The 27939-nt window shown below is 36.3% G+C and overlaps 1 long non-coding RNA gene and 1 pseudogene across 1 annotated transcript in view; one reads left to right on the forward strand and one right to left on the reverse strand.

Moving 5' to 3' along the window:
* Positions 1–250: 250 nt before the first annotated feature.
* LOC101929028 (uncharacterized) overlaps positions 251–27939 on the reverse strand; it is a 382849-nt gene continuing 355160 nt past the window's right edge. The window contains exons 9-10 of the long non-coding RNA XR_007061175.1: positions 10941–10989; positions 251–1405 (exon numbers count right to left, since the gene is read on the reverse strand). This is a non-coding gene — a long non-coding RNA (uncharacterized LOC101929028). The remainder of the gene's footprint in view (positions 1406–10940; positions 10990–27939) is intronic.
* On the forward strand, positions 2281–2748 carry MRPL49P2 (mitochondrial ribosomal protein L49 pseudogene 2; annotated as a pseudogene).

Genomic DNA, 27939 nt, shown 5'->3' on the forward strand with positions numbered 1-27939 from the left:
TTTCCTGTGAAAGATCCCAGTAAGGGTCTTTTTCAGGCCCCTCTCCCAGCTTTTGGTAGCACCAAGTATTCTTTGGTTTGTAGATGAATCACTCCAGTCACAAGGCTGTTCAATTCTTGTGTCTTCAGTTTTTTTCCTCTGTAGGCCTGTCTCTGTATCCCAATTTCCTCTTTTATAAGGACCAATTATTCATTTTCAAAGAGCTATGGTATATCAGTATAACTTGACATCTAAATAAAGAAACATTTAATGCATACCATAAGGCATTATGCATTTATTTATGCACCACAAAGGCATATGTATTTATTTCTAACTCTCATTCTATTCCAGGACATGATGTAAACAATATTTAAACATAGAAACGTTTTTTATCTCACATTTTAGTATCTCAATTTAGTTTCTGAAATGAGGAAAAGAAAAAAATGAGATGAATTTCATTTAACTTCATTCAATAAAAATTGTGTCATTCCTTCTTTTAAATGCACAGACTCAAATTTTATTTTCAGAGATAATGAGTAAGCCACAATTGCAAAGGTGATTATAATCAATTTGGACTGGTAACAAAATCAGGTGGTCAGAGAGAAGCTGAACTCATTTACAATAATGAATCAACTCAATGATGATCATTTCTGAATAACTGCATTCCGGTATCCAACACTTGAAAGGGAATATAAATTACTATCATGTGCTTACTATAAGAGGCTTCTATCAGCATTATTGCCTCTACATTAGAGACCATTAAAATGCTTATTTTAAACTAAGGAAACTGACGCGGAGGAAAATTAGTTAACCTGTCCAACCCACATAGATTGTAAGAGCTGAAGGGAAGATTTGAACCCATATGTGATGCTAGAGTTTGTATTCTTAACCACTATAACATACTGGCTCCCATATATCCCATAGCTAGATAAAGTATTATTATATACCTGAATATCTTCTCTGTAAGCTTTGGGCAGAGTCAGAGTTAATATGCTTTGCACACAGACTCACATAGGCTCCCAGACTCTCCAAGCCCTTTCTTACCCATCCTCCTTCTTTTCTTTCTCACTCACTGACAATGGAATATAACAATTGCAGTGGATTCCTGGGGGGATTCAAGTGGTCCTGAACTAAGAAAAAAACAAAAATATAAACCACCCATTTCCAATGATAAAGATTTAAAACTTAATTTACATTTCATACAAATCAATAATTTTAGTCTTATTACACTAATGTGTAGCATAAGCTTATCCAACTAAATCACAGTAGAAAATCTATGGACAGAATATGTGCTAATGTGATCTTTGCAAACTCCGTCTTCTTGGAAGTACATGTCTTCTGTCTGAGTAGAGTTGAACTATCACTTCACTCTTCTTAATAAAATCAGTTCAATATCAGATAATAATTTGGAGAATTTGGAGAAAACCTGTGAAAAACAAGGTTTGTTCTATGTTGTATCACAGCTCTAGTTCTTATAACTTGGCAGGTTAGTTTTTTTATACTAAAGATCACAATTTTTGGTGTTAAAAATATAAGCTAACAAATTAATATCTCCTTATATATTATGATTGTACAACATTTTAAAAGACTAAATCATCAAATACTGAAATTCAAATTAATAATACAAAATAAGTTGTGAAATCCAAAGGTCTTTGTTTATATAACTAAAATATATATGTATATATGTATGTGTGTGTGTACACATATATATATGTCAAGACAATAGTGCCATTGCTGTATATTTTTCTAATTAAAAATCTAGCAGTTGCCCTTTATTTATCTGTGTTGAGTTTCCTGGCTATGAAGCTACGTTAACACTGACCTAGATCAATACACCTCAGCAAAACCCTGTAAGCAACAAGCTTAGAAAGGAATTGTGTTTTTACTATTGACTTCAGAATAAATCTCCTAATTTCTTAGCTGAAGCAAACACTTATTTAACAAAAGCTGAGAATACAGTTGTGTTGTTTCTTAAAACAATGCAACCAAATAGAAGTATTTTTACTATAAAATTCTCCAATTCTATTTTAATAAATATGTGCCAGACTTAAAACAAAGTAATCCAGTGGGTCAAGATTATATGTATGAAGTATTTAAATAATGCAACTATTTTTCTAATTATAAAAGCAAATCATGTTTTGACAGGGTTTGAAAATATTAAAATTATAAATAAGACAGTCATCTAGAAAAAGTTTTATATAGTCACAATATTTGGCATTACAAAACAGAAACAACTTTGCATAAATTTATTTTAATAGCTTTGGCCTCAGTGAAAAATGTCTTAGAGCCCAAGGCCAGAACAGGGCAACATCCACGTTCTGGGCTGCACTGCTGGACTGGAGAGCCAGTATCCAGTCTGGCTATTCACCATATAGCTGAGATAGGTTCAGGGGTCTCCAGATTACCCCAGGTTTGTAGAGTATATGTATGAATACCAATTTGTGGAGTGTCTATTATTCCCTACCAGCGTCTTAATGCCCCCAAAGCATGAACATTATCTCAGTCTTAGTAACTGGCAGCCTCTCAAAGACCCCCATCCAACCTGCCCTACTTAGTGCAGCACTCTCAGATATACAACATCCCTGTCTACAACCGGTCGGGAGCGCGGAGGACCATATTTGGGCCCCGCAGAAGAATGTGGAAGATTTTCTGAGTCCACTGCTGGCAAAGACATGCATTACCCAGGCCAAAGAGTTGACAGGTACCCTGCAGGTCAAGGGCTACTTTGACCAGCAGCGCAAAGCCTGGCTCCTGAAGAAGGGCTACTGAGGTCCAGCAGAGCAGCTTGCATGACAATATCCCCACAAGCTGCACTCCAAGGAACCTCAGGAGGAATAAGGTGGGTTTTGGAGCCTTGAGACAGGCAATCCAGAGACTCGGGCTAAGGGATTTGGTGGGGCAGAGTGAAGGCCAAAAGGATTCTTTGTTAGGTCTTAGTTGCATAAAGTGGGAAACAAGACCCTATGTACAGGTGGCAGCACTAGGTGAGCACTACCTGCCAGGAACAGCCAAGCTAGTGGGGGCTATTAGCTCTTGTCCCTCCCCATCACCTTGGCCCATCCCTGCTTTCCCTTCATTGGTGCTCCTTGGGTGCAGCTATTAAAATTCTAGGGGTTGTCACCTGGTGAAAGCAATAACCTAACTCCATTTAGGAGACTGTAGCAGAGGGCAGATTCATTGGGTACATTCCTTCCTTGGTCCTCTGGCCTTCCAGAGCTCACTGCCACAAATTTACCTGAGCCCTTGTCCTAGTTCAGACCTGGCTTGGCAGAGGCTATGGAGAACACAGATGATTCAGGCATGGGTCTTGGGGGTCTTCTGTTCCAAGTGCAGTGCTGAGCATGAGACACAGAGTTCCTCTGTTAGCCACTGAATTATTTCTACCTGATGGAGGAGTAAGAGGCCCAGACTGGGTGCCTGTTCCATTCCAGACCAGACTTGGGTCTAACCGGGTTTCCAGCTCCAGGAGATTAAGTGATTCGCTTTGGCAGGGCTGGCCACAAGCAGTGCCTGGGAGCTCCAAGTAGTCCAGTATAGGGCTATCCTCCCCAGCCTGCTGACCTGGAATCAAGGCTGGATGGGGGTTTGCAGGCAGGAAGATGCTGGCCTTTAAACCCGGCCATCCCATCCCATCCCACCCCCAATCAGCTAGCCATCACACCCAGGCCATACTTGGAATCACAGGCGCCAAGGGCCTGAGTTCTCACCCCCATCCCATCCTAGCATCAAACTGGCTAAGACATGGTTCAGATACTAGCTCTCCTCCATGGTCTCTGACCTAAGGTAGGGTACTGAATTTCTTTGGGACTCAGTTTCTTTATATGTAAAATGGGCACATCTTTGTAAGGATATTCCTGGCTTACATGTTAAACCCTCACTCCTGGAGACTCCAGGACCCTCTCAAGTCTAAAGCCTCTGCAAAGAAAAGGAGCTCAATACATTGATTTAATGACATAAGCCCCACCAATCATTAATGCAAATTTTTAGTTAGCTGTATATACGATTCAAGCTATTAAAATTTTTACAATATTTACAAATTAGTCTTCCGAAAAAAAAATGCCTTACAAGGAACTAGTACTGACAATAATGACAAGTCAAGATTATTTGAATTGCATCAAATATTTCCATAACACTTATAAATATAAAATAAGACATAAAAATAAGAATAAAAATATGAAATGATAACATAATTTAAAATAAGAATAAGCATATGCATCAAAGATTACTTGCACAGCTAGAAGCCCGCTCAGAACTCTAGTCAGTTAAGGAGCAAAATACACATTTAATAGAGTTTCAAATAAAAAGTTACTTCTGGAATGTATGGGAAAGTGACTATGTTCCCAAATAATTTAAAAGTTGAATGCAATCTTTTAGATTTCAGAGTGAAAGTGACTCTTGATTGTATAATTTATTAAAATTAGAATCAGAGTTGCGTTTGGGCCAGGTGTCAGTAAACAAAAATGAGTGACTCTATCTCTAGTAACTCCAAATTCCTCCTTATCACTTACTGCCTTGAGCTTCTCTCCTCAGTTATTTCGTGTCCAATGACAAGGTTCACCTGATAGACTGGTGTGGCCATAGGGAAAATTACCGCCAGGGTCCCCTCAGGCTGGCCAGTATTCATGACAAACTGTTAATGATTTTGAAAATCACTACCTCCAGTGTTTCCAGAGTCTTTAACTGATGACCATTTACAAAAGCTATTCATAGAAATATAAGCCTGATATCTAAATGAAACATAAGGTTGCTCTGTTACATCTCCTACAATGTTTGCATTTTAATATTGGCCATGCCTAGTTTAAGCCAAAGGGAGCCTCATTCTCTCTGCTTCATGTTTCCAAAAAGAGACCGCCCACACCTCGACTTCCGCTAGCCTCTGGTATCTCTCCATGATTCCTGTTCACTCTTGTTGGAAATGGAGGACTGGTTCCTCTAATTGGTGGATTTGGAACAAAAAATTCAGATGTGCTCACCTCAGCCTCTCCTCTTCTGCTTTTTATGGAGCTAATCTATTTAGCTCACTGGTATCAACCCACGTATCTGGAAATTTGCCTGGATTATAGGATGGGCTTCAGAAGTGTTTACCAAACACTTACAAACATTTAACAAATGAATAATAATGAATCTGTTGAGTCAGTAACTGAATGGATAAATTTCATATAATGTGTCAAATATCAGCATGTCCATTTGGTCAAAGATCTGAATCTACATTCTTCACATGGTTTGTCAGTATTTGAGTAAATAATTTTAAGTGCATCTATGTGTCTTTGATCCAACTCTAATAGTCTCAGAATTCAGTCATGGACAAGGGGTATATTACTTGTTGTTTGTTCTGAAACCACTTAATAGAATTGAAAGGAAAATACAGCGAAGAAGAGTTAAAGTTAATATAATAGAAAACTTTTTTAAATGGAAGCTTTTGAAAAACCAGGATGTACCGTCGCGAGTGTAACATTCACCTCAATAGGTGAATATTAGTAGAGAATAGATACTTGTTAGATAAGATGTAGAAGAGATGATCCCAGCACCAGAGAGAGAATTGGTCAGTGTCAAGTAATAAAAACAGGAACCACTCCAGATACTGCAAGAGAAGAGGGGCCAAAAGCAGGGAATAAACTACAAAATTGTTGGAAGGGCAAAAATCAAACAACCAAAAAAAAAAAAAAAAAAAAAGAAGAAGAAAAGGAATATTGGAAGAGTGAAAGGGAGAAGGGAATGAAGGGAATGTTACCTAGTTATCAGGGCTGTCTTTTCAATTCAAGACTCAACACACCAGCCATCCCTCCAGCTGATCTGCTAAAGATGTTGCAGAAACAAAGGAACATGGATTCCATGGATGCTACTGAAACCCCTACTGACATGTTGGTGACCCTGTCACCTGAAGTTGCTCTCAGAGCCCATAGTCACCTCCCCATGTTATCACTGCAACCAGAGACACCACAGTAACAGAAAATAAATAATTATTCTTTCTTTCTCCTTAAAAAAAATGTCCTGCAAGGGCTTCGCATTGGCCAAATCTTACTGGAAACTTGTTAGCAAGGGAGCCTGGGAAAACTGCTTGGCATTCTTCCAGCTCCCTGCCATAGAAAAGCAAAGAAGGGTTTGAATGAAGCTGAGAGCCAGCAAGCAAGCAACCAGAATACCAGATAATGTATTCTTTCACATTTTTCAAGATCCAACAGAAATTTGTTAGAGGAGGAACACTATTCACTATTAACCTCTCTAGAAATTACAGCAACAGACCATTAAAGACATTTAGAATAAATAACTAGCAGCTACCCACAGTCGCAAAAATATTTGTACTGAATTACAGCTGTCAAAGTATATATGACAGCTTACACTGTACATGGAGAGAATGAATTATAGAACTAAGAAATGCCAAACCTACCGACTTTATTTATACTCATAATGCAGAGTGAGGAAAAAATGGTGTGGGCAACTTTAGAAAGCCTTCAAGAGGAGATCAAAGGTAACGTGCCCTGGTAGGGGAGGTAGGATTTCAATGAAAGGAAGTTATTTTATACTGATAGAGAACATAAGCAAGGGAACTGAGGCTAAATGGGAGTAACAAGTATATGGAGAACATGGAAGAAGGAGTAAGGTAAGAAAAATCAGTCTCACTCAAGGATCTGAACATTAAAATAGGGTCCAATATGGCGGATATAGTTATACTTAAGGTGTGGAAAACTACAGAGTATTGAGGAAATGATGAAAATAGATTCCTTTGGAGTTCACTTTGTTAGATTTTATTTCACAATGTTCTATCTGAGGAAGGCTGATATTCCATTCTTGATTACAATCTATAAACAGTGATTAGCCTAAAATATATGGAAGTTTGTTTGGGGGGGTCTTCCAAATCTGACTTGAGGTGTTATTTTGAGTGGTATTCGCAGCAACATTCCACTTTTTCTGACTTCCTTTTCCTTTCTATACTAATTTGACCCCCATTTCTATCCTACTATATAAATATTTATACGACATTAATATCAGCAATAGGAACAAACCACTCTGAGAATGAATATAGTCTAACAGTTAAGAGAATGAACTCTGGAGCCAAACTACATAAATTCAAAACCCAACTCCACAAGTACTACTTATATGACCTTTGATTTACTTAAAATTTTCTTAGCTTCATCTTTAAAATGGGGTGATGGAAGAATTTATCATCTAACATTGTTGTCAGCATTAAAGGCAATGATAATGTTAAGCACTGGCCTTAGGGCCTGACATATACAACATCATGTAAGGGTTAGCTTTATTTTTTCTGTTATCCCCAGCATGTGGTTTTAACTTGTGCATAAGTTCTCCATTTTGACAAAGGCATCATTATCCCCTGTTGCAACTCATTTCATTTTGGACCACTGAAATCATGAAGTCTTCTCTATACGTTTCTTCATATTGAATTTGTTATAATTTCCAGCCATTGTTTCTATTTCTACCTTTGACGCTACCTAGAATTCATGCACCACATTCTCTCTTGAGTAGGGCAGGCTTTCCTAGATTGAGAGAGAAATAATTACCCTCTTCCAAATTCTCTTATTTTGCTCATATTAATAGCACTGTTCTTATATTAATACTTCATATTGTATATTTCTTAGATCTACATGAACTTGATTATTTGCCTTTGGATCTCCATTTGCCAATATCATTCTCAAACATCCTAGTAACATCTGCCATCTCATGTCCAAAGATATGCACACTGGGGAACTCTCAAATGGCCAGTGGGACGGACATAAGTAAACTGGGGGCCTTCTACTCCCCCGTTGATCACCTGTGTACGAAACTGTCCCTGTCACCTGCAAACTGTGACTTCTTTGGATACAGTGTTCAAAATAATCTCCCTTACTTGGACTAATAAACTGAATAGAGATAATCCCAGAAGAGAGAGACAAAGATACACTATCAGGGCTCCCCCTTCACATTTGTGTTCAGCAAATTTAAGCTGTAAAAATGAAACACTTATGCTGCTTTCAAATGATCAATATTCACAGAAGTGTGTCATAGTAACCATGGATTAAAAATTATAATAATATGTATTAAAGTAACATAACGTCTTAACAGGGTCAAATATTTTTAATGATTTTTACAGACAAATGGTTCCTCTAAGAATGCTAACCTATTATTTAATGAAACTGTGTTAAAAATTAAAATCAATTAACCAAGTTTTTTCCTCAGCCATTGTATTTTATATTAGCAATGTGTTTTTCATATATGTTTCATATGTGTATATGTGTGTTTCTCATATATATAGCACATATATAGCAATGTGTTTCATGTATATGTTTTATATACATACACACATACAAGGTAGTGAAGAACCATTGTGTGTGTATGAATGTGTATATGTGTGTGTGTGTGTGTGTGTGTGTGTATATATACATATATATATATATATATATATATATATGCTGTACACCAACATTGCCCAGTGCTAAAACTATATCTCACTTCAAGGAAATATTATAAAAATAGAATTGTGAAAATTCCAAAAGACAAACCTTTTCTAATAGTTGTACCATATGTCACCATATCTTATAAAATTATATATTAACTTGAGAAAATCCAGATAAAAATATTTTACTAAAGATAAAACCAATGTCCATTTTGTAGAACTCATAATCTGCTTTGTATTATTCTAATGCAAGGGCAGGTCAGTGCAATTAACTTTGGGTGAGAGTTGTTCTTCTCCACCTGTGGTCCTTGGAGAGCTCATCCTTCTAGGCTTCCGGGTAAGCTGTCAGGTGCACTGCCAACCAAGATTCAGGCTTAGATTAAACCTTCAGGGCCCACATAACAATTTATACCCTTGACAATTTTTTTCTGCTGATTGAATAATGGTATTTTATGGCCCATTTAAAAAACAATGTATTTGAGCACATTTTATTTGTACTACCCTAAGTTGCTGATCCTATAAAAAACTGTAAGCCAACTATAGTGTGCCGTCACATTTTTGGAGTTACGTATTTCCCTAATTGAATTTGTTGATTTATTGCTAACAAAGATAAAATTTTCTATTTCAGCCAATTTTCTGGGATGTGAAATTGCTTCAACATGGAAGCAAATTCTATGACTTTGAAAAAAGTGCTTGAAATCCATTTAGTCACCAAAATATTAACTTGATAGAAGTGAAACAACCAAGGAAAATGATCCTGTAAAGTCTTCTTTCAACTCTAAAATAAAATTATTGAAAGTACAGCTGCTTGAGCAGAAAAGTAGATTGTGACAACTTCTGCCACTTAAATTTTCTGAGTATAGAGTAAGTTTCATAATATTCTAGAAGAATATTATAATTAATGATTATCAATTTCTTAAACTTTTATGAAATTTCATTATGTAATTAATATTTCATAACTAATTAATATTTAAATAGGAAATAAAGTATTTCCAAAAGTCCATTACAAATACAAAATCTCATAGCAGGCAATTGGAAATGCTGTACTTTTTCGATCTTTCTAAAATGGAAAAGGCATGTTCTCAATTTTTTTCTGAAATTTTATTCTATAATTGCTAGCTTAGATTAGAAAACAAAAATGTTTGATTGAATTTCCTAAAAGGTTTCTATTAGGTGGTAGGTATTATGCATACACTATTACCTTATTTAATAAAATATCTGTTGTTTCATTAGAAATTTTCTACTTATGATGTTTGATATAAACCCCCATTTGGAAATATAAATCTATCTTTCTCAGAGCAAATAGAAGGACATTGTCATGCTTGGAAATCTCCAGGTGTGTCTTTGTATCTTAGAAAGCTTAATGTAATACCATCATCCCCAAATTTGCACTAAGCTTGGCAAAAAGAACAGCAAATCCCAAGAAGCAATTAATCTTTTCTATCCTACTGAAGACAATAGCTGAAGTTTTAGAATTCAATATTCAGTCAGCATACAGAAACAACACTTTGAAGTTATATAAAATAAAACGTGATGACTCTTTAAAAATAGTTTTAAAATTTGGCTGTACTCCACAAACATGAATCTATGCTGTGCCTTCTAAGTACACTCTCGCATTTCTTCCATACAGACAATGCAATGCAATGACATCATTTCATTATATGGAATGTTGGAAATATGCAAATAGAAAGGTCAGCAGAAGAAACCACTGCAGAAAGAAGCTTGGTCAGGACAGCACAGCAGGAAACAGATTCAACATCCTTGTCTCCGACCTGTGTTTGCCTATGAACCCATCCTAGTCACCATATTGAGGTCTGATCCTACCAGCACCAAAAGAGTGAAGTAAGTTATACAGAGAATGGAGAAGTGTATTATTATAAAGTGCCAGAAATTGTTGCTGCAGGATTACTACGGAGGATTAATCTAGTAGGTAGCCTAATGTTTTCCCTTCATAGGTTAAGTTGTAAAGGATGTTAAGATACCAGGTCAAGCATGCCAAATTACTTCCCAAAATTGTAGTACGGCTGGCAAAGGATATTTTGAACTCCTATTTTCCAAATTCTAACTAACACCAATAGGGAATTATGCTTAGGTGGGAAAAAGATGAAATGGAAAGCATTTTGGAAATGAGGGGACACGAGAAAAGAGGAAGAGATTCATTCAACACACAGCTACCAATATCCATAATTTGGCTACTCAAGCCACACTGATCCTACCTGAATTTCACAACCAATATATTTGGCTTAAGAAGAAAGCAGCTAATCTGACGAATGCTTACAGTGTTGAATAAGGAGATTGATGCTTTTTTGTAAAGCCACATGCACACGGAATACTGACGTTTCAGAAGAAAATTCAACTGTTGAAATTCTAACACATTGGAGTTGGCAATAAAGATTGTCACATAGTCCAAATTAGTAAGATTCTTAGCTCTCCTTTTTCAGAAACAACACAAATGATTGTCTAGCAGGAGAATCTCTGCCAGAAAGCTGACAAAATGCTGCTTTTGCTTCATTTTTGGAATTTTCAAATTTAGAATAGTAAAAGAAGAATTTGGCCACAAATTACTGACCTCTTTGTTTTGGCAACATAAATCAATGGTGAGAAGTAAAACAGGCAATCTGCGAAAACAACAAAGAAAACCAAGTTAAAACAAATATTGATTGTAAGTGGAGAAATGCAATGGAGAAATCAATCACTATTATAATTCATCATTCATAGAAAAAATACAAAAATAGAAAAATTAAAACTTAAGCCCTGAAATACAAGATAAGCCCTGAAATACAAAATAAACCCTAGTCAATGAATTCTGAAAACCACATAGAAAATACTCTTTCCAAACGGTCCCTTCCTCCTTTATTTACTGCTTCACTGCCAGCATTTCTTCCATTTACATTTTAGGGAAATTATTAAGTTTCAAAAGATCCACTTCTTTTGGTAATATCCAGTTGTTAACCCTGAAACTCTGTGACTGGCTGGGTCTATGTGGCAAATGTCAATGGAGGTAACCAAGATGCTTGTAATTTTCTAATTCTCTAATCTTCTAAGAATAAGAAAGCTATTTATCTCATGCTTTTTTATGAAAGTCTTTCTCCCAGCTATTTCTGACACATGGAAGATCCCAACTCTCTAATTAGGACCCATGTTTGTTATGAAAACTTCTCTTATTTACTCAGCCTTTTCTCCTCCTGACAACATTCCTTGCACCAAAACACGTGTTTAGGTAATTTACTACATTCCTGCCATTCGTTTTCACTTTATCTTGTTTACACAAATACCTATTAGCAAAAGGGGAACAGATATTAGTTATTAGGTTGAATCTCACACTTAGCTGTTCCATTTTAGTACCTTTTTCACATGACCATACAATGTTATCACACGTGTAGTATTCATCTTCTGTCCTCTTCATTCTTTATGCAAAGTTTATAATGAAGACTCCGAGGCCTATGTATGCCCAATCAGTTATGTGGGGGTAACAGAAGACATCTTCATTTGTAAAATTTTGTTTTTTTTTTAATAGAAAGAACACTTAACATAAGAACTACCCTCATAACAAATTTTTAAGTGTACAATACCACATTATGAAACATAGGCTCAGATGGGCACCACAGCTCACGCCTGCAATCCCAGCACTTTGGCAGGCCAAGACAGGTGGATCACCTGCTGTTAGAAGTTTGAGACCAGCCTGGCCAAAATGGTGAAACCCTGTCTCTACTGAAAAAAAAAAAAAAAAAATTAGCCGGACATGGTGGGAGGCGCCTGGAATTCCGGCTACTCATGAGGCTGAGGCAGGAGAATCGCTTGAACCCGGTAGGCAGAGGCTGCAGTGAGCCGAGATCACGCCATTGCATGCCAGCCTTGGTAACAAGTGAAACTTCGTCTCAAAATAAATAAATAAATACAGACACTAGGATTATAGCAGATCTCTAGAACTTACTCATCCTGCATAACCAAAACTTCACACTTGTTGATTCACAACTCCCATTTCTTCCTCTTCCCAACCCCTGGCAACCCCAATTCTGCAATTTGCTTCTATAGGTTTAACTATTTTAGATACCTCATGTATGTTGAATCATGAAGCGTTCGTATTTCTGTAACTAGCTTATTTCGCTTAGCATAATGTCCTCCTCCTGGTTCATCAATGTTGTTGCAAGTGACAGATTTTCTTATTTTAAGGCTAATATGTCATTGTATGTACATGTTAAACTTTGTTCGTTTCTTGATGAACATTACAGTTTTTTTACATGTTAGCTACTGTGAATAGTGCTGCAATGAACACAGAAGTGCTAATATCTCTTTGAGACCCTTATTTTAATTCTTTTGGATAAATGTCGAGAGTGGGACTGCTAGATCATATGATGGTTCTATTTTAATTTTTGGAGGAACCTCCATACTGTTTTCCACAGTGGCTGTACCATTTTGAATCCTACCCACAGTGTGCAAGGTTTTCTAATTTCTCCACATCCTCACTAATAAGCTTGACTTTTTTTTTTCATATGTCATCCAGACAGGTATGAGATAATATCTCATTATACTTTTGAATTACATTTCTGCGATGATTAGCAATACTGAGCACTTTTTCATATGCCTGGTGGCCACTTGTATGACTTCTTTAGAGAGATGTCTATTTAACTCATTTCGTTTTAAAATCTGGTTGTTAGGTTTTTTTTTTTTGCTTTTGACTTGTAAGATTTCCTTATATATTTTGGAAATTAACCTTTTATCATATATATGCTTTGTAAAGATGTTCTCCCATTTTGTGGATTGTTTTTTTCACTCTGAGGATTGTTTTCTTTATTGTACAGAAGGTTTTTAATTTGATGTAGTCCCATTCATCTTTTTTTTTCTTCTGTTGCCTATGCTTCTGGTGTCATAGCCATGAAGTCATTGACAAAACCAAAGTCCTAAAGCTTTTCCCTTATGCTTTCTTCCAGGGATTTTACAGTTTCTGGTCTTACACTTAAGCCTTAAATCCATTTTGAGTTGATTTTCATGTATGGTATAATATAAGGGTCCAACTGTGTTCATCTGCATGTGGATATCTAGTTTCTCAACATCTTTTCTGAAAGACTATCCTGTCCCCCTTGTGTATTCTTTGCAATCTTGTCTAAGTTTAGTTGACCATTTATGTGTGTGAATTTATTTCTGGGCTCTCAATTTTGTTCCATTGGTCTATATATGTTTTTATGCCAGTACCATACTGTTCAAATTACTGTAACTTTATCTGCATGTGGATATCTAGTTTCTCAACATCTTTGCTGAAAGACTATCCTGTCCCCATTGTATATTCTTTGCAACCCTAAGATTGTCTAAGATTAGTTGACTATTTATGTGTGTGAATTTATTTCTGGGCTCTCAATTTTGTTCCATTGGTCTATATATGTTTTTATGCTAGTACCATACTGTTTAAATTACTGTAACTTGGTTACACTTTTTGAAATCAGGAAGTATAATGCTTTCAGCTTTGTTCTTTCTCAAGATTGATTTGTCTATTCAAGGTCTTTTATGACTCCGTATGTATTTTAGATAGTATTCTTTTCTATTTCTATGAAAAATGGCATCAGAATTTTAATAGGGATTGCGTTACATCTGCAAATCTTTTTGGGAATATGGATATCATAAAAATAGTATGTCTTCCAATCCATAAACACAAATGTCTTTTCATTTGTTTGCATCTCAATGTATTTCATTAAAGTTTCGCAGTTTTCAGTGTATAAACCTTCCCCTTCTTTTATTCCTAATTATTTTATTATTTCATTCTATTGTATGTGAGATTTTTCCTAATTTTTTTCAGAGAGTATGTTTTCAGTATATGGAAATGCAATTGCTTTTTGTAACTTCACTGATTCATTATTAGTTCTAACAGTTTTTTAATAGAGTCTTTAGGGTTTTCTATATATAAGATTATGTCCTCTGGAAACAGAAACAATTTACTTATTTTCCAATTTGGATGCCTTTTTTTTTCTTGCCTAACTAATTTTGCAAACACTTCCAGTACTATGTTAAATAGAATTGAGGACAGAGGGCATCCATGCCTTGTTCCTAATCTTAGAGAAAAGTTTTCAGTTTTTACCATTGATTTAACAACTAGGCTTTTCACATATGTTTTTATTATGTTGAGCTACTTTGCTTCTATTTCTATTTTTTCAGAGTATTTATTTATAAAAAGGTGTTTACTTTTATCACATGCTTTTACTGTGCCTGTTGAAGTAATTTTTTTCATCAATTAATGTATCGCATTAATTGAATTTTAGATTACCCATCCTTTTATTCCAGGGATAAATCTGACTTGGTCATAGTGTATGGTCCTTGTAATGTGTTGGTTTGCTTGTATTTTATTGAGGATTTGTTGCATCTATATTCATCAATAATATTGGCCTGTAGTTCTCTTGTGTTTTTTTTTTTTTTTTTGAGATGGAGTCTCGCTGTGTCGCCCAGGCTGGAGTGCAGTGGCGCGATCTTGGCTCACTGCAAGCTCCACCTCCTGGGTTCACGCCATTCTCCTGCCTCAGCCTCCTGAGTAGCTGGGACTACAGGCCCCACCACCATGCCCGACTAACTTTTTTGTATTTTTAGTAGAGATGGGGTTTCACCGTGTTAGCCAGGATGGTCTCCATCTCCTGACCACGTGATCCACCCACCTTGGCCTCCCAAAGTGCTGGGATTACAGGCGTGAGCCACCACGCCTGGCCTCTTGTGGCATCTTTGTCTGGCTGTTATCTGGGTTATGCTCGCTTCATAAAATTAATTTAAAAGTGTTTCTTCCTCTTCAATAGTTTTGGAAAAGTTTGAGAATGATTGATGTTCATTCTTCTTCACATGTTGGACAGAAGTCACCCAAGAAGCCATCAAGTCCTGGGCTTTTTTTTTTTTTTTTTTTGGGAGATTTTGCTTACTGATATCATCTCTATACAGCTCTGTTCAGACTTTGTAGTACTTCGTAATAAAGTCTTGGTATGTTTTATGTTTCTAGGAATTTATCAGTTTCTTCCAGGTTATTCAATTTGTTTGTGTATAATTGTTCATAGTAGTTTATTATGATTTTTCTTATTCCTGTGGCATCAGCTGTAATGTCTTCTCTTTCATTTACAATTTTATTTATTTGAGAAATGGATCTTTGCCATGTTGACCAGACTGGTCTTGAACTTCTGGCTTCAAGAAATCCTCCTGCCTCAGCCTCTCAAAGTGTTAAGATTACAGGCGTGAGTTTCATTTTATTTATCTGAATCTTATGTCTTTTTTTCTTAAATAGTGCAGCTAAAATTTGTCAGTTTTGTTTATCTTTCATAAATCAAGGATGCTTGGGGGAAAGGAAATCACATGGGGAATTCTTAATGAATCTACTAAGGTCTCTCTATTTCTGAATTAAATTCCAGATTGTCTAACCTATATTTAAACTCTAAATCCAGCTCTCACTCCCCACTTTCAGTTTTCAGCAAGATGATCTAGTAACTTCTTTCCCCTTGTCCTTGTTCTTACTAACAGCTCATATTCCTCTTGTTTTACTCATCCTTCTTCAATATGGTTTTTGTTGGAACGTTATATTAATTTTTTCAAGAAGGATTGTTGGAGGACCTACTATATGGTAGGCCCTACAATAGTCATTAGGAATATGTCTAGCAAAACAGTGCTAATCTCTGTGGTGCTTTTAATATAGTAGGGGTGAGAAAGATTAAAGAGATAATCACATATTTGAGTATATGGTTACAGGTTTCAGTGAGTGGTATTAAAGGAAACATACGACTGTTGAATGAGTAGAGAGATCAGACTTAATCAGGAGGACAGAGAAAGCTCTCCTGGAAGAAGAATATTGGGCTGCTGTCTGAAGGATTAATGGAGTGAGCTAGGCAGTTGTAGTGATGCAGAGAAGAAGAGGACTAAAAGAAGAGAGAAATGCAGATATAAAGGCCCTAAGTTAGATATAAAGCTTAGCATGGTGAAAGAACTGAGAGAGTACATGTATAACTCAGTGCATGAAGCAAAGAGGAAATTGGTAGGATTTGCAACCGGGGAGACTAGCAGGGCAGATTCATGTATCACGTTACAAGTGACATTAAAGATCATGGTCTTCTCCCAGCAGTGAGAAGCCACTGAAGGGGAATTACTCTGATCTGATCTGAATCTTCAAAATATCACATTGGTTTCAGTGAAGAGAGAAGCATGAAAGGGGTAAAAGAAAAACTGGGGAAAGATTTCTTTTGTCCAAATGAGAGATAATAGTTTGAACTAGAATGGTACAGCTGATAGGATAAATTGAATATTGGAGAGAGCTTTAGAATGAAATAAATTGTACTCAGGAATAGATTACGTATGAAGGAGTGAAAGAAGGAGGTCATACGATGGGTGCTGCTGAGAGTACTAGTTAAAGCAGATGTCTCAGGTTCGATTGCTTCTAACGAAGTAGACACAATGTGGACTACTGAGTATCTGACCACCAGATGTTAGCTTCAGAGAGCATTTTAATTCTTAGTCCTCTGTTTGAGGTTGGAAGGAGAATAGATGTACTTTCTACTTCACCCATTTTACTAAATTCGTACATTACACTTCCTCATGCTAAATGGTTGGACATAGCTCTGGGTCCAATCAGGAAAGGGATAGCAAATGAGTCTGTAATTACAGCACCTGAGTGTAAATCCTGTGATGGGCCACCCACAGAGGGAGATGTTGGCTCTGTCTGGGAGGTCCAGGAAGGCTTACTGGAGGAGGTGGCATGCTAGCTGAGTATGCAGGATGAACCGGGGGAATTTGTTACATATCTGTGCAAATCATTTCTCCAATCAGATTATAAGCATGCTTTGGGGAGAATCATAATATATACATTTCTCTGCTACAGACTAGCCCTGCTGTGAGCTCACCATAAATGCTTCCTAATAATTATTTATTGGAAAACAGAAGTAAAGTTTCTTGGGAAAAATACCTCATTCAAACTAAATCTACCACTGAAACTTCCTTTTTAGACTATGAGTTTTGTATACATTACTCCACAGCTTGATTAGTATGGGTAATTGAAATTCTTTAAGTTTTCAAATGGAAGATGAAAGTGAAAATTTTAAGTTGATAACTGTGCAAATTATAACTGTTAGTTCACTTACTTGAGGAAGCAAACTAGACTGTATAGTCCTAAATGAATATTCACATGTGTTCTCTTTCATTGGCAGGGAAATGCCTATTTTTAAACTCACAGAAAAGACTTTCAATTTAGACTTCATTTCATATTAACTTCCTCTGTTTCCTTCCCTGTAGTTTTTACTTTGTTCTATTCAGTGTGACAAATTTATGCTTAGACTGTATTTTTAAAAATTAAGGATCTGCTTAACTTTTAAGATTTTTATAGTATAGAGATTATGGACCTTATGGAATAGTTTGACAAGTGACTGAATTGCCAGATGTAAAAACCTAAACTGTGTCTCAGTTTTGAAATGCCTAAAAGTCTGCGACAAAATCCACCTAGTGTATTTTGAATGTGTTTTTATTGTTTGGATTTGTCACGTAATATGTATGCATGACATGAGGATATTATAACTTAAATAACTAGAGGGGTGGACCCAATAATTCAAACGTGGACCTTTAAACATGGGTCTGCACCTCTAAGGACTACATATTGGCTGGACTGCTGACTTGCTGCTTACAGTTTCTGCTATGACCTTATATAATCTATGCATTTTTGCTCCCTGTTTGCATCTAGTAATCATCTTTAATCAGCTTACTTCCCTGTAGGGAAGGATTTACTTCTGTTTCTGTCTTACTGTTTGCAACTTAAATTGTTTTGCCTTTAAGTTCTTGTAACTCTTCTATCATTTAACCTTAAAGGCATTATTTAACATATAGCAATGGTGATTTTTAAAAAATCAAACTATCTCATATGTCAAGGTCAAAAAGCACAAATAAAAAACAACCAAAATGCTTCTCTGACATTTTCTCATAGTGCGTATACTACCTATATCTTCATATGTGATAGCACAGATCCACTTCAATAAATGTAAACTGATTTTTCCTATTAAAAAATACACTCAATTTTTAATATTTGAACATAGCTCTCAAGAAACATTTCCCTTGGAATTGAGGAAACAGCAATCAGAGCAACAGCAGCAATGAATGAAGGAAGAACCAGTGCCCAGACTATGCCAGAAAACCAAACAGATGGCTCTCAGCAAATGAGCCAAAACATGTCCTGCAATGTATATTTTATGTGTGGGCAGGGACAATTTCAGGCACATTTACCTTGCATCCTGAGTGCCTGGCACAGAGTAAGTGCTTATATTTATATTTATGTGGAATTAACTAGTAGGCAACTCAACACTAACTTGATTTACTTAAAAAGTACATTCATGGTCTTTATGAATAAGAGATAATACCATTGGTACTAGCAGTTATTTTGGGGATGTTGCTGAATGACTATTTGAAATGATTCTGTATGGTTGGTTGATGGAATTTACTATACTTAACAGAATATCATTTTCTAGAACTAGATATTTTCTGTTGCAGATTACAAATGTCATTCTTGAAGAATCTATGCTTATCCAACACAGGTCATTTCCATACCTTTCATTGTTTTTTGGGGGGGAGGAAATAAAACAAATTTCTTTATGACTTGTAATAAAAATTTTAAGCCCAAATAACTGAAATTGGGGGACATAGACCATTTTTTGATGCAATATATTCAATTCCTCAAAAAGAATTGCAAAGTCAAATCTACATTAAAGCATATAGAAAAGTGAAGTAGGACCCTTATAAGGTACTCTCATAAAAGTAATATGGACATGACATAAATATGATCAAATCAATTCTGGAAAACAGAAGTTGACTGCAAAATCAAACTTATGTTTACTTTAAGTTTGTAAGATAAAAAAGCCTCATGTCCTGATTTGTTCAGAATTCTTTAATAATCAAAATATAGGCAGTATTTGACAATCTGCCAGCTTTTGGTTTTCACAAAAATAAGTTAACGTACACCAACTCAGTTACTCTTTCCTTCAGCTTCTCTCTTGAGAATCATGCTTAGATCTAAAAGAGGAACCGCAGAAGAGTGTCAGTGATAATGAAAGGATGATGAACCATATGGAATTCCTGAATTACTAAAAGCAGACGAGCAAGATTTTCAAATAAATGAGATGCCCTATGATTGAGTTCATCTGTTTTCATTTAGCAGAACAACAATAAGTGAACACATAATGGGATAGAAAATTATGACGGTTTTTACATACATTTACATATCACATTCCAAAACATTTCCAGAAAGGAAATATTTGTACCACCTTATGATGGTTAATTTTATGTGTCAACTTGACTGGGTCATGAGTTATATATTTGATAAAACATTATTCTAGGTGTTTCCATGAGGGAGTTTTTGGATGAGATTAACATTTATTTATTTATTAATTTGAGTCAGGGTCTTGCTCTGTCACCCAGTCTGCAGTGCAGTGGTGCAATCTCAGCTCACTGAAGTATCAACTTTTAGGACTTAAGTGATCCTCCCGCCTCAGCCTCCCAAGTAGCAGGGATGACAGGGATAAGCCATCCACACCTGGCTAATTTTTTTTAATATTTATTTTCAGTACAGATGGGGTCTCAATATGTTGCCCAGGCTGATCTGAAACCCCTAGGCTCAAGCGATCCTCCTGCCTCAGCCTCTCAAAGTGCTGGGAATACAAGTATGAGCCACCGTGCCCTGCTGAGATTAACATTTAAATCAATAGACTGAGTAAAACAGAGTACCCTTCATAATGTGAGTGGGCCTCATTCAAGGAGCTGAAGACCACAGGAGAGCAAAAGGCTGACCCTCCTCCAAGTAAGAGGGAGATCCTCTTGCCCTAAAATGGCCTACACTGGGGCATCAGCTCTTCTTGGTTCCACAGCAGCTTCCAGTCCTTGGATTCAAACTGGACATTGGCTCTGCAGATTTTGGACTTGCGAGTCTCTGTAATTGCTTCAGTCAACTCCTTAAAATCTGTCTCTCTCCTATTGGTTCTATTTTTCTGGAGAGCCCTGACAAATACACACCATGTAACCATATTCTTCCATACAGTTGAGCCCTCACAGCCACCTGTAATACTCTGTGTTCTCCTAGTCAGTAACTTCAGCCATTCTTCACAACTATTGTAGTTTTTCCTGAACAATTCTTAAGCATTCTACTCCATCTCTTCTTACTTTCAGCAGCCTCCTATCATGTAGGTAAAATAAATGCCATATGATAAGAAATCACTAAACTTTAAAATCCCCAAACCTCCACTCTCCTCTATGATTTCCTCATTTCTTTCTGTTCAAATACAGAAAATAACTTGTCTCTTGCCCAAGAGTAATCCAACCAGTTGTGTTCTGTGTCCAATTCCTTCTTCCATGTTTAGATACTTGCTGGGTTTATCATTTTTTTCTCTCTCCTCTTTGTTTGTAATTTCTTTTTATATATCACAACCTTTTATGAAATCTAAGCGTGTTCACTTCTCTCCTATCACAAAAATAAACAAAAAACACAAAAAGCCCTCTTCTTTGGCAGCACCTTCTGCTCTGCTCACTATTTTTCCCCTCCTGATAGCCATGTTTTTTAGGTCATTATTTGCAATTGTACTCTGGCCCTCTTTATCTGAATGCCAAAATAAATGTTTAAGGTGCCAAGGCAAGAATTCAAAAAATTACAAAAACAAAAGATAAAAGCTTCAGACGGAGTAGGGACCCCTCTTAGCTACTTCTGGGCCGCTGAAACATGGCAATTTTTAAAAAATCTTGAGTCCCTTCAAGGGAAGTTCCAGGCACCTAGCTGGCCTTGAAAAGTAAATGCCCATTAATCAACAAGCAGATAAAGAAAATGTGGTATATATGTACCACAGAATACTACTCAGCCATAAAAAGGAATGAATTAATGACATTCACAGCAACCTGGATGGAGGTGGAGACCATTATTCGAAGTGAAGTAACTCAAGAATGGAAAACCAAACGTCGTATGTTCTCACTCATAAATGGAAGCTAAGCTATGAGGACGCAAAGGGATAAAATGATACAATGAACTTTGGGGACTCAAAGGGTGGGAGGGAGGAGAGGGTAAAAGAGTACACAATGGGTAATGTGTACACTGCTCAGGTGATGGGTGAAACAGAATCTCAGATTTCATCACTGAAGAACTTATTCATGTAACCAGACACCACCTGTTCCCCCAAAACCTATTGAAATTTCAAACAAATAAGCAACCTGATAAACAAGAAGATAATAACAACAGTCTCCAGCAAGCCAGAGTTGCAAGGTATTTTGGTGGTGGCACCTTTATTCTTTAGGGTCTTAGGGCCACAAAAATTCCTCAACCAGACTTTCTATGCCTCATTCTTTCTAGAACCCACTGCACTCTGAATTATCCCCTCAGTTCTGCTGAAATTGCTCTTACTAATATCATTAATAGATACTCATGTCAGTATCATACTTAGTTTCTTATTATCATCTTCCTTGAAACATTTTCTTCCCTTGGCTTCTCTGATGCTTCAGTGTTCTGTCTTTGGGGCTGCTGGTCTCTTCCATTTTGTTCTCAGGCGTTTCTCCTCTCATGGAATAATCTCAGTCCATGTGATCTGATTCCCGCTACTCCAATTTCAAGTCCTTTTATTTACTGATGGCTCCCAAAATGAACACTTCAGCCTATATCTCTCTTAAACTGCAACCTTTATCTCTCTCTTAAACGGCAGATTTATACACCCAACTATTATATTTCTCCTTCAGGATATTTCAATGGAAGTTCAAACTCATCTTCTAGAAAAATGGCTTTCTATGCTAATCTTTGTCTCTGCTCTGGCTCCCACGTTCTGTAGCTCAGTAGATGGCACTGATGTCTTCACTGAGGTTCACGACTGAATCCTCAACACAGGACTTAACCTCTCCTGTCCTATACCATACAACAAATAAACCATCAGTTCCTACAGATTCTACAATCCTAAAATCTCTAGAATCCTACCAATTTCACCTGATAGCTAGGCTATTGCCTTTTAAATAAGTTTGAGTTTCTTGCCTTCTTTTTTCTCTTTTCCAATCCTTTCTTTATGATGCAACCTGAAACATAAATTAAATGTAAATTACAATCGTTTGCTCTTTAGCATAAGAATTTCAGTGGCTCCTTGTGGCCTTCAGGATAATGTCTAAGCTCCTTCATGTTTCTTAGAACAACCAGCTTGCCGTGACTTGTTTTTACTGCTTCAGTATATCCTCTTATCTGTAGATAGGGTTTCCATTCTTCACGTGTGCAGTTCCTCTTGTATTTGAGGGCTTTTGCCACATTGTTTTGTTTTCTTTTTGTTTTCTCATTCAACTAAATCTTGTTTTAGATCTCAACTTAGACATTTACCCCATATGAAAAGCTTCTCCTAAACTCTAAATAGGGGTTTAGGAACTCATATCACATGCTGCTTCAGACAGTTATTTTATCCAAACCACAATTTTTCCATTTGTAAAATAAATAGGATTATATCACCTACTCTACAGGGTTGTTGTAAAAATTAAAGGAGAAAATGTAAAGTGTTAGCAGAGTGCCATAGCTCAGAGTAAATAAATTAATTAAATATCAGTAAATATTAGCTCTGATGATCTTTATGTTTATTATGATTACTAAGAAAGATTCTTTTATGGATTCTTATCCAGTATTAACAAAGACACTCAAGTTCCTCGTGCATAATTGAAATGTAAATTTCTGATCTACTCCAAACTTTCTTGAAAAAAAAGGAAAAGCACAAAATGAATAGATACATCAATTTTTAAATATTGTTACTATCAAACCAAACATCTTCCCAAAGAAAATTATTATGGGCTCATGATTTTTTTTTGTGATAGAGAATGAACAGATAAACTCTACTGTCTAAAATAGTACAGGGTTTGTTGTTAGCTTTCAGAAGGATATTTTATATTGGATAGATCTTATTGCTGCTTACATTTCATCCTCAAAATAAAAGGACACGTTTAGCCACTTCAGAATCTAGATACAGATTTGCCTGATTCTGTCAGCCAATCTTTCTGCCCTGTATGCCATATTGCCTCTCTAGGGAGCAGCTTCTGGGTAGGGGGAAGGAGTGGCTGGAAGCAATGTATGAGACAGTTACAACAAATTTTCACCCAACAGGGTTCTGTAAATTGTATCTTTAAGATTAGGAGAGGATTTATTTTTCAATAATAGCTCAAAGCACAGCTCCCACTCATTTTCTGCAATTCCAAAATCCAAGGAATCCTGAAAAAACAACAAGTGTTCTCCTAGGTTTGGTGTCAAAGCTCAATTGAATACAAAACTGACCTGAACTGACAATAGGACATTTATTACTCCTTTTAACCCCATTTAGTGTTGTGACTATTGATTCATGTTACTACAAAAATCTTAATAGGTTTGACTCCAGAGTGCTACCCTGACATTTCTGTTCTTTTACATGAAATACTCAAATTCTGAACCATATCCGTCCCCAAGGATTTGGAATAATATATTGTGGATGTGTCATTTTTTTCACATCCTGACTGTCATGGCAGATATGTAATAGGTAATACTTGTAGGTTTCAACTTCTAAAGAAACAGCCCAGCCTAGCTTAAGTAAAAGGGGGGATTCGTGGAAGGATACTACAATTGCATGTAGAAATATAAATGCACAAATCTGGTGATTCTTTCTTAATATAATATCCATCAGGAAGTTTTAGCCGTCAGGGAAAATTGTTGGCTACCTTCTCTCAGATGCCACTGCATGAAGAAAACAAGGCCTTCAGCAGCTCTAAGCTCTGGCACTTACATCAGATAAAACACAGGTCTTTCTTTCTTAGATAAGTTTGGTCATGGAATGGGAACAGGCCTGTGGCATATGCCCAGCTTTGGGGTAGTGTGGCAGAGTTTGTTAATGGCAAACTCCAACTTAACCTCACAGGTGGTTGTGGAGGTGGAACAACCACCGCCCCCCGCCCCACCAAGGAAATTTTAGCTAGTAGATGAAAAATCAGATGTCCTCCAAAATATGACTGACCATAGGAAAGAAAAACATGCATAGTATTCATCAACCACTCTGGTAAAACTAGGAACAGATAAACGGTTTTTTTCATTTGTTTGTTTTCTACATATCAAGATTTACAGTTCTTACATTATAACTCAACATAACATATCATTACATTTTATGGCAAACCAACCTACTGAAACCTATTTTTTTAATACTTCAAATCAGAATGGTCAGGCATTTTATTGTATAATTGACTCATACTTTACTCTTTCTAAAAATAATCTTTCTCCACATCCACTGATAAATGAATAAATATGCCATCTGTAATGTTAAAGGTTTGTTTGAGAAACAAATTATTTTCTGATGTGACACTAATATGGTATTTCATCAATTAATAGTTTCAGTGGCTTTGAAATATTTCAAGTCTATGCCTAGCTAATGAATTTAATAGAACTAAATTTGGATATTAGTGCTTCATCAGTGTTGATGAATATATTTCAACTGTAAAAAGATGAAAGGAAGTAATTCAAAAAACAAATGTAGGCACTTGAATTACATTTTGATGATAATTATTTCTGCTCTTTGTGAGCTAAAGGAAACCTAACCCCAACATTTTATTTGTTAATAAATAATTCCGTATCAGTAGACTGCAGAAAAACTTAATGTAATCACTTAGAAATAATGAAACAGTAATAACCACGAAAAAAAAAAACATAGAAATCTGGGAAGAGCCTAAGATTTCTTTACTTCATGATGTTTTCTGCAACTATTCCATTCCATACTGGTCTGTTGAGCTTTCACAATACCTTCTGTCCAACCATTATCTGCCCTTCATTACATGCAATGTGATATTATCATTGAGTCTAATATTGAATGCATATTATGCTTTCCATTCAACTTGAAAACTCATTTAGGTAAACATATTACACTTCATTTATATTCCCTCTTCAGTGCCTATTATGAAATGTACACTAGGCATTAAACAAGACTTGAAAATTGAATTGTTAAACCTTGTGAGAGTTAACAGAGAATCATTGGCTAATCAGTTTCAGGAGACCTAGGGTTAATTCGTTTAACAATTTATACATGAGATTTTTTGCCATTTATGATAAGCTATCAAATTTCCAAAATATTTCACTCATCTATATTCTAATGACATATCTATTAAATCAAGTAGAGGAAGTGTTTACCTAGAAACAATGTCTTTTCCAGAATTAAGTTGGCCCACTATCAAACATCATAGTAAGTTTACAGTACTATTACCAATTTATATGTGTGATATAAATACAGTGTAATATTTTATTCTTTAACGTGGACTAGGGTGATATTTTCTGAAATAATTGTTTCCTCCACTATATTCTTTAGCTGCTGTCAAGAATTTAGACGTAAATCACATTTCTGATTATGTTTCTTTCTCATTTACTGACTTTTAGAATGGTCCAGTGCAAACTGAAGAACTCAAATTTCTTGGCAGAAAAGATTCTTTTCATCTTCTCTCGCTATGTTTCCTCATCATGTTCTCTGATTAGTCTATTGTACCTATAATAGCAATATCAAAAATTTACTCTTCTCTAAGTATTCTAATTATTTTTTCACTGGAGAATTCCTTTTAAAATATTTTTCTCATCTACCAACCTGTGCTCAAATATTAAGTTTTAACATCTGCAAATTTCCTCTAGCTCACTTGCAAAAAAAAAAAAAAGAAAAACTTAAAACTGTTCAAAAGTCCATTTATCAATAACCCTTTTTAAGCAAAAGGTAACCATCCACCCAAATGTCATTCTTTGAAGATGTACCAGCCCCTTGCACATTAGTTCTCAGATCTATTCTCTGACTTTCCCCGCATATTTTAGGAAACCTTGATCACTGAGTTCTGGCTAAAGTTAGCTACTGTGAGAAACTGACAGGACCCTAAAGACTGGGACACAGACACAGAGTTAATCCACCTCTTCCATTTATGCTTAGAGCTGCTTTTCTGGAAGCAGCTGTATCTCCCCATGGCCCCAGCTCACCCTGGGCAACCCCTTTATCTGCGGTTCTGGTCACTGCCATACAGCTTTCTTGGAGACTGAGTAACCTCACCCCAATCTGGCAACCCCAGCTCTGGGTTGGGGTACCACCACTTCTATCTTCTCACCCTCTAGGCATAGAGCTAGCATCAACTAATTGATGTTGTTAATCTAGGAATGACCTTAATAGTGCCTGCTTGCCTTCAGCAAGCACCTGTGCAACTAGTCCCCAGAACTCAAGTCCTTCTTTTGGACTATGTGGAATGAGCTCTGCTTTTTGGCCTAGACCCTGACTCTGACACATTATCAATCGGTACATAAAAAGGCAATTTTTAAACTGTGATTATATACTTTACGCTATTTAAATAATATTAAATTGAATTTGTTAAAAATTAATAAAACGAAATCAAGTAGAAGTGAAAATCTCAGTGAAACTCCACTGAAAATCAAACATTTATATCCTTATTATAAGAGATATTATTCTCTTAGAATATCCTTGTGAAGATAGGAATGAATTGTAATTAAGACAAGAGACTTCAGTTTAAAATTATATGTTTTATTTCTTTATTTATTTTTGGTTGTTAGAGACAGGGTCTCACTCTGTCATCAAGGCTGGAGTGCAGTGGCACGACATAGCTCACTATAACCTCAAACTCCTGGGTTCAGGGAATCTTCCCATCTCAGCCTCCTGAGTAACTGGGACTACAGGCATGCACCACAATACCTGGCTAATTGTTTAAATTTTTTGTAGAGATGGGACCTATATTGCTCAGGCTAATCACAAACCCCTAGGCTCAAGCCATGCTCCCACATTGGCCTGTCAAAGCACTGAGATTACAGGAATTAGCCACTGCGCCCAGGCTTACTATATGTTTTAATCGTAGATATTACCTGATCCATAGACAAAAACCTTCGCTCTCTTGTAGGCTCACTTCCTTTCCAGTCACCTTCCATTTCAATTGCCTCCTTTCTCTTTTGTAAATTTGTCAATAATTTGACATGGCAAAAATTGTAACTTTTTTATTCTCTCCTGCCACCAGTTTAACATCCTTTATTATAATTCTAGATTTAAGTGGAGTCAGTGATAATTGTCACCAGTTTAACAGGGTTTCTTATAGCAATTCTACATTTAACTGGAGTCACAGATAATCACTACTCCAATACCAAGGCACCATTTGTGAGTTCTTTATAAGGCTGCATTGCATTATATGTTGAATTGTCACGATGAGGATTGTTATCAGTTAAATTTTAATATGCAGTTTGTTTCCGTTTTTCTTACCAGTGGTTAACAGGTGACATATAGGTTCTTTCATATTTGAGATGGCCTGACTATTGCTCTGTCCATGAAATACTTGGTCCAATAGTTTGGGTATTTGTCCTCAACAAATCTCATGTTGAAAGGTAACCCACACTGTTGGAGGTAGGATCTGGTGGCAAGTGTTTGGGCGCAGATCTCTCATGACCTGGGCACAGATCTCTCATGACTTGGTGCTGCCCTTGTGACAGTGAGTGAGTTCTTGTAAAATATGAGAGTTTAAAAGTATGTGGCACCTCCCTGGTATTGCTCCTCCTCTCACCGGATGAGACACCTGCTCCTCCTTCACCTTCTGCCATGAGTAAAAGCTAC

The sequence above is a fragment of the Homo sapiens genome, chromosome 8, assembly GCF_000001405.40.
Source record: "Homo sapiens chromosome 8, GRCh38.p14 Primary Assembly".
NCBI lineage: Eukaryota > Metazoa > Chordata > Mammalia > Primates > Hominidae > Homo > Homo sapiens.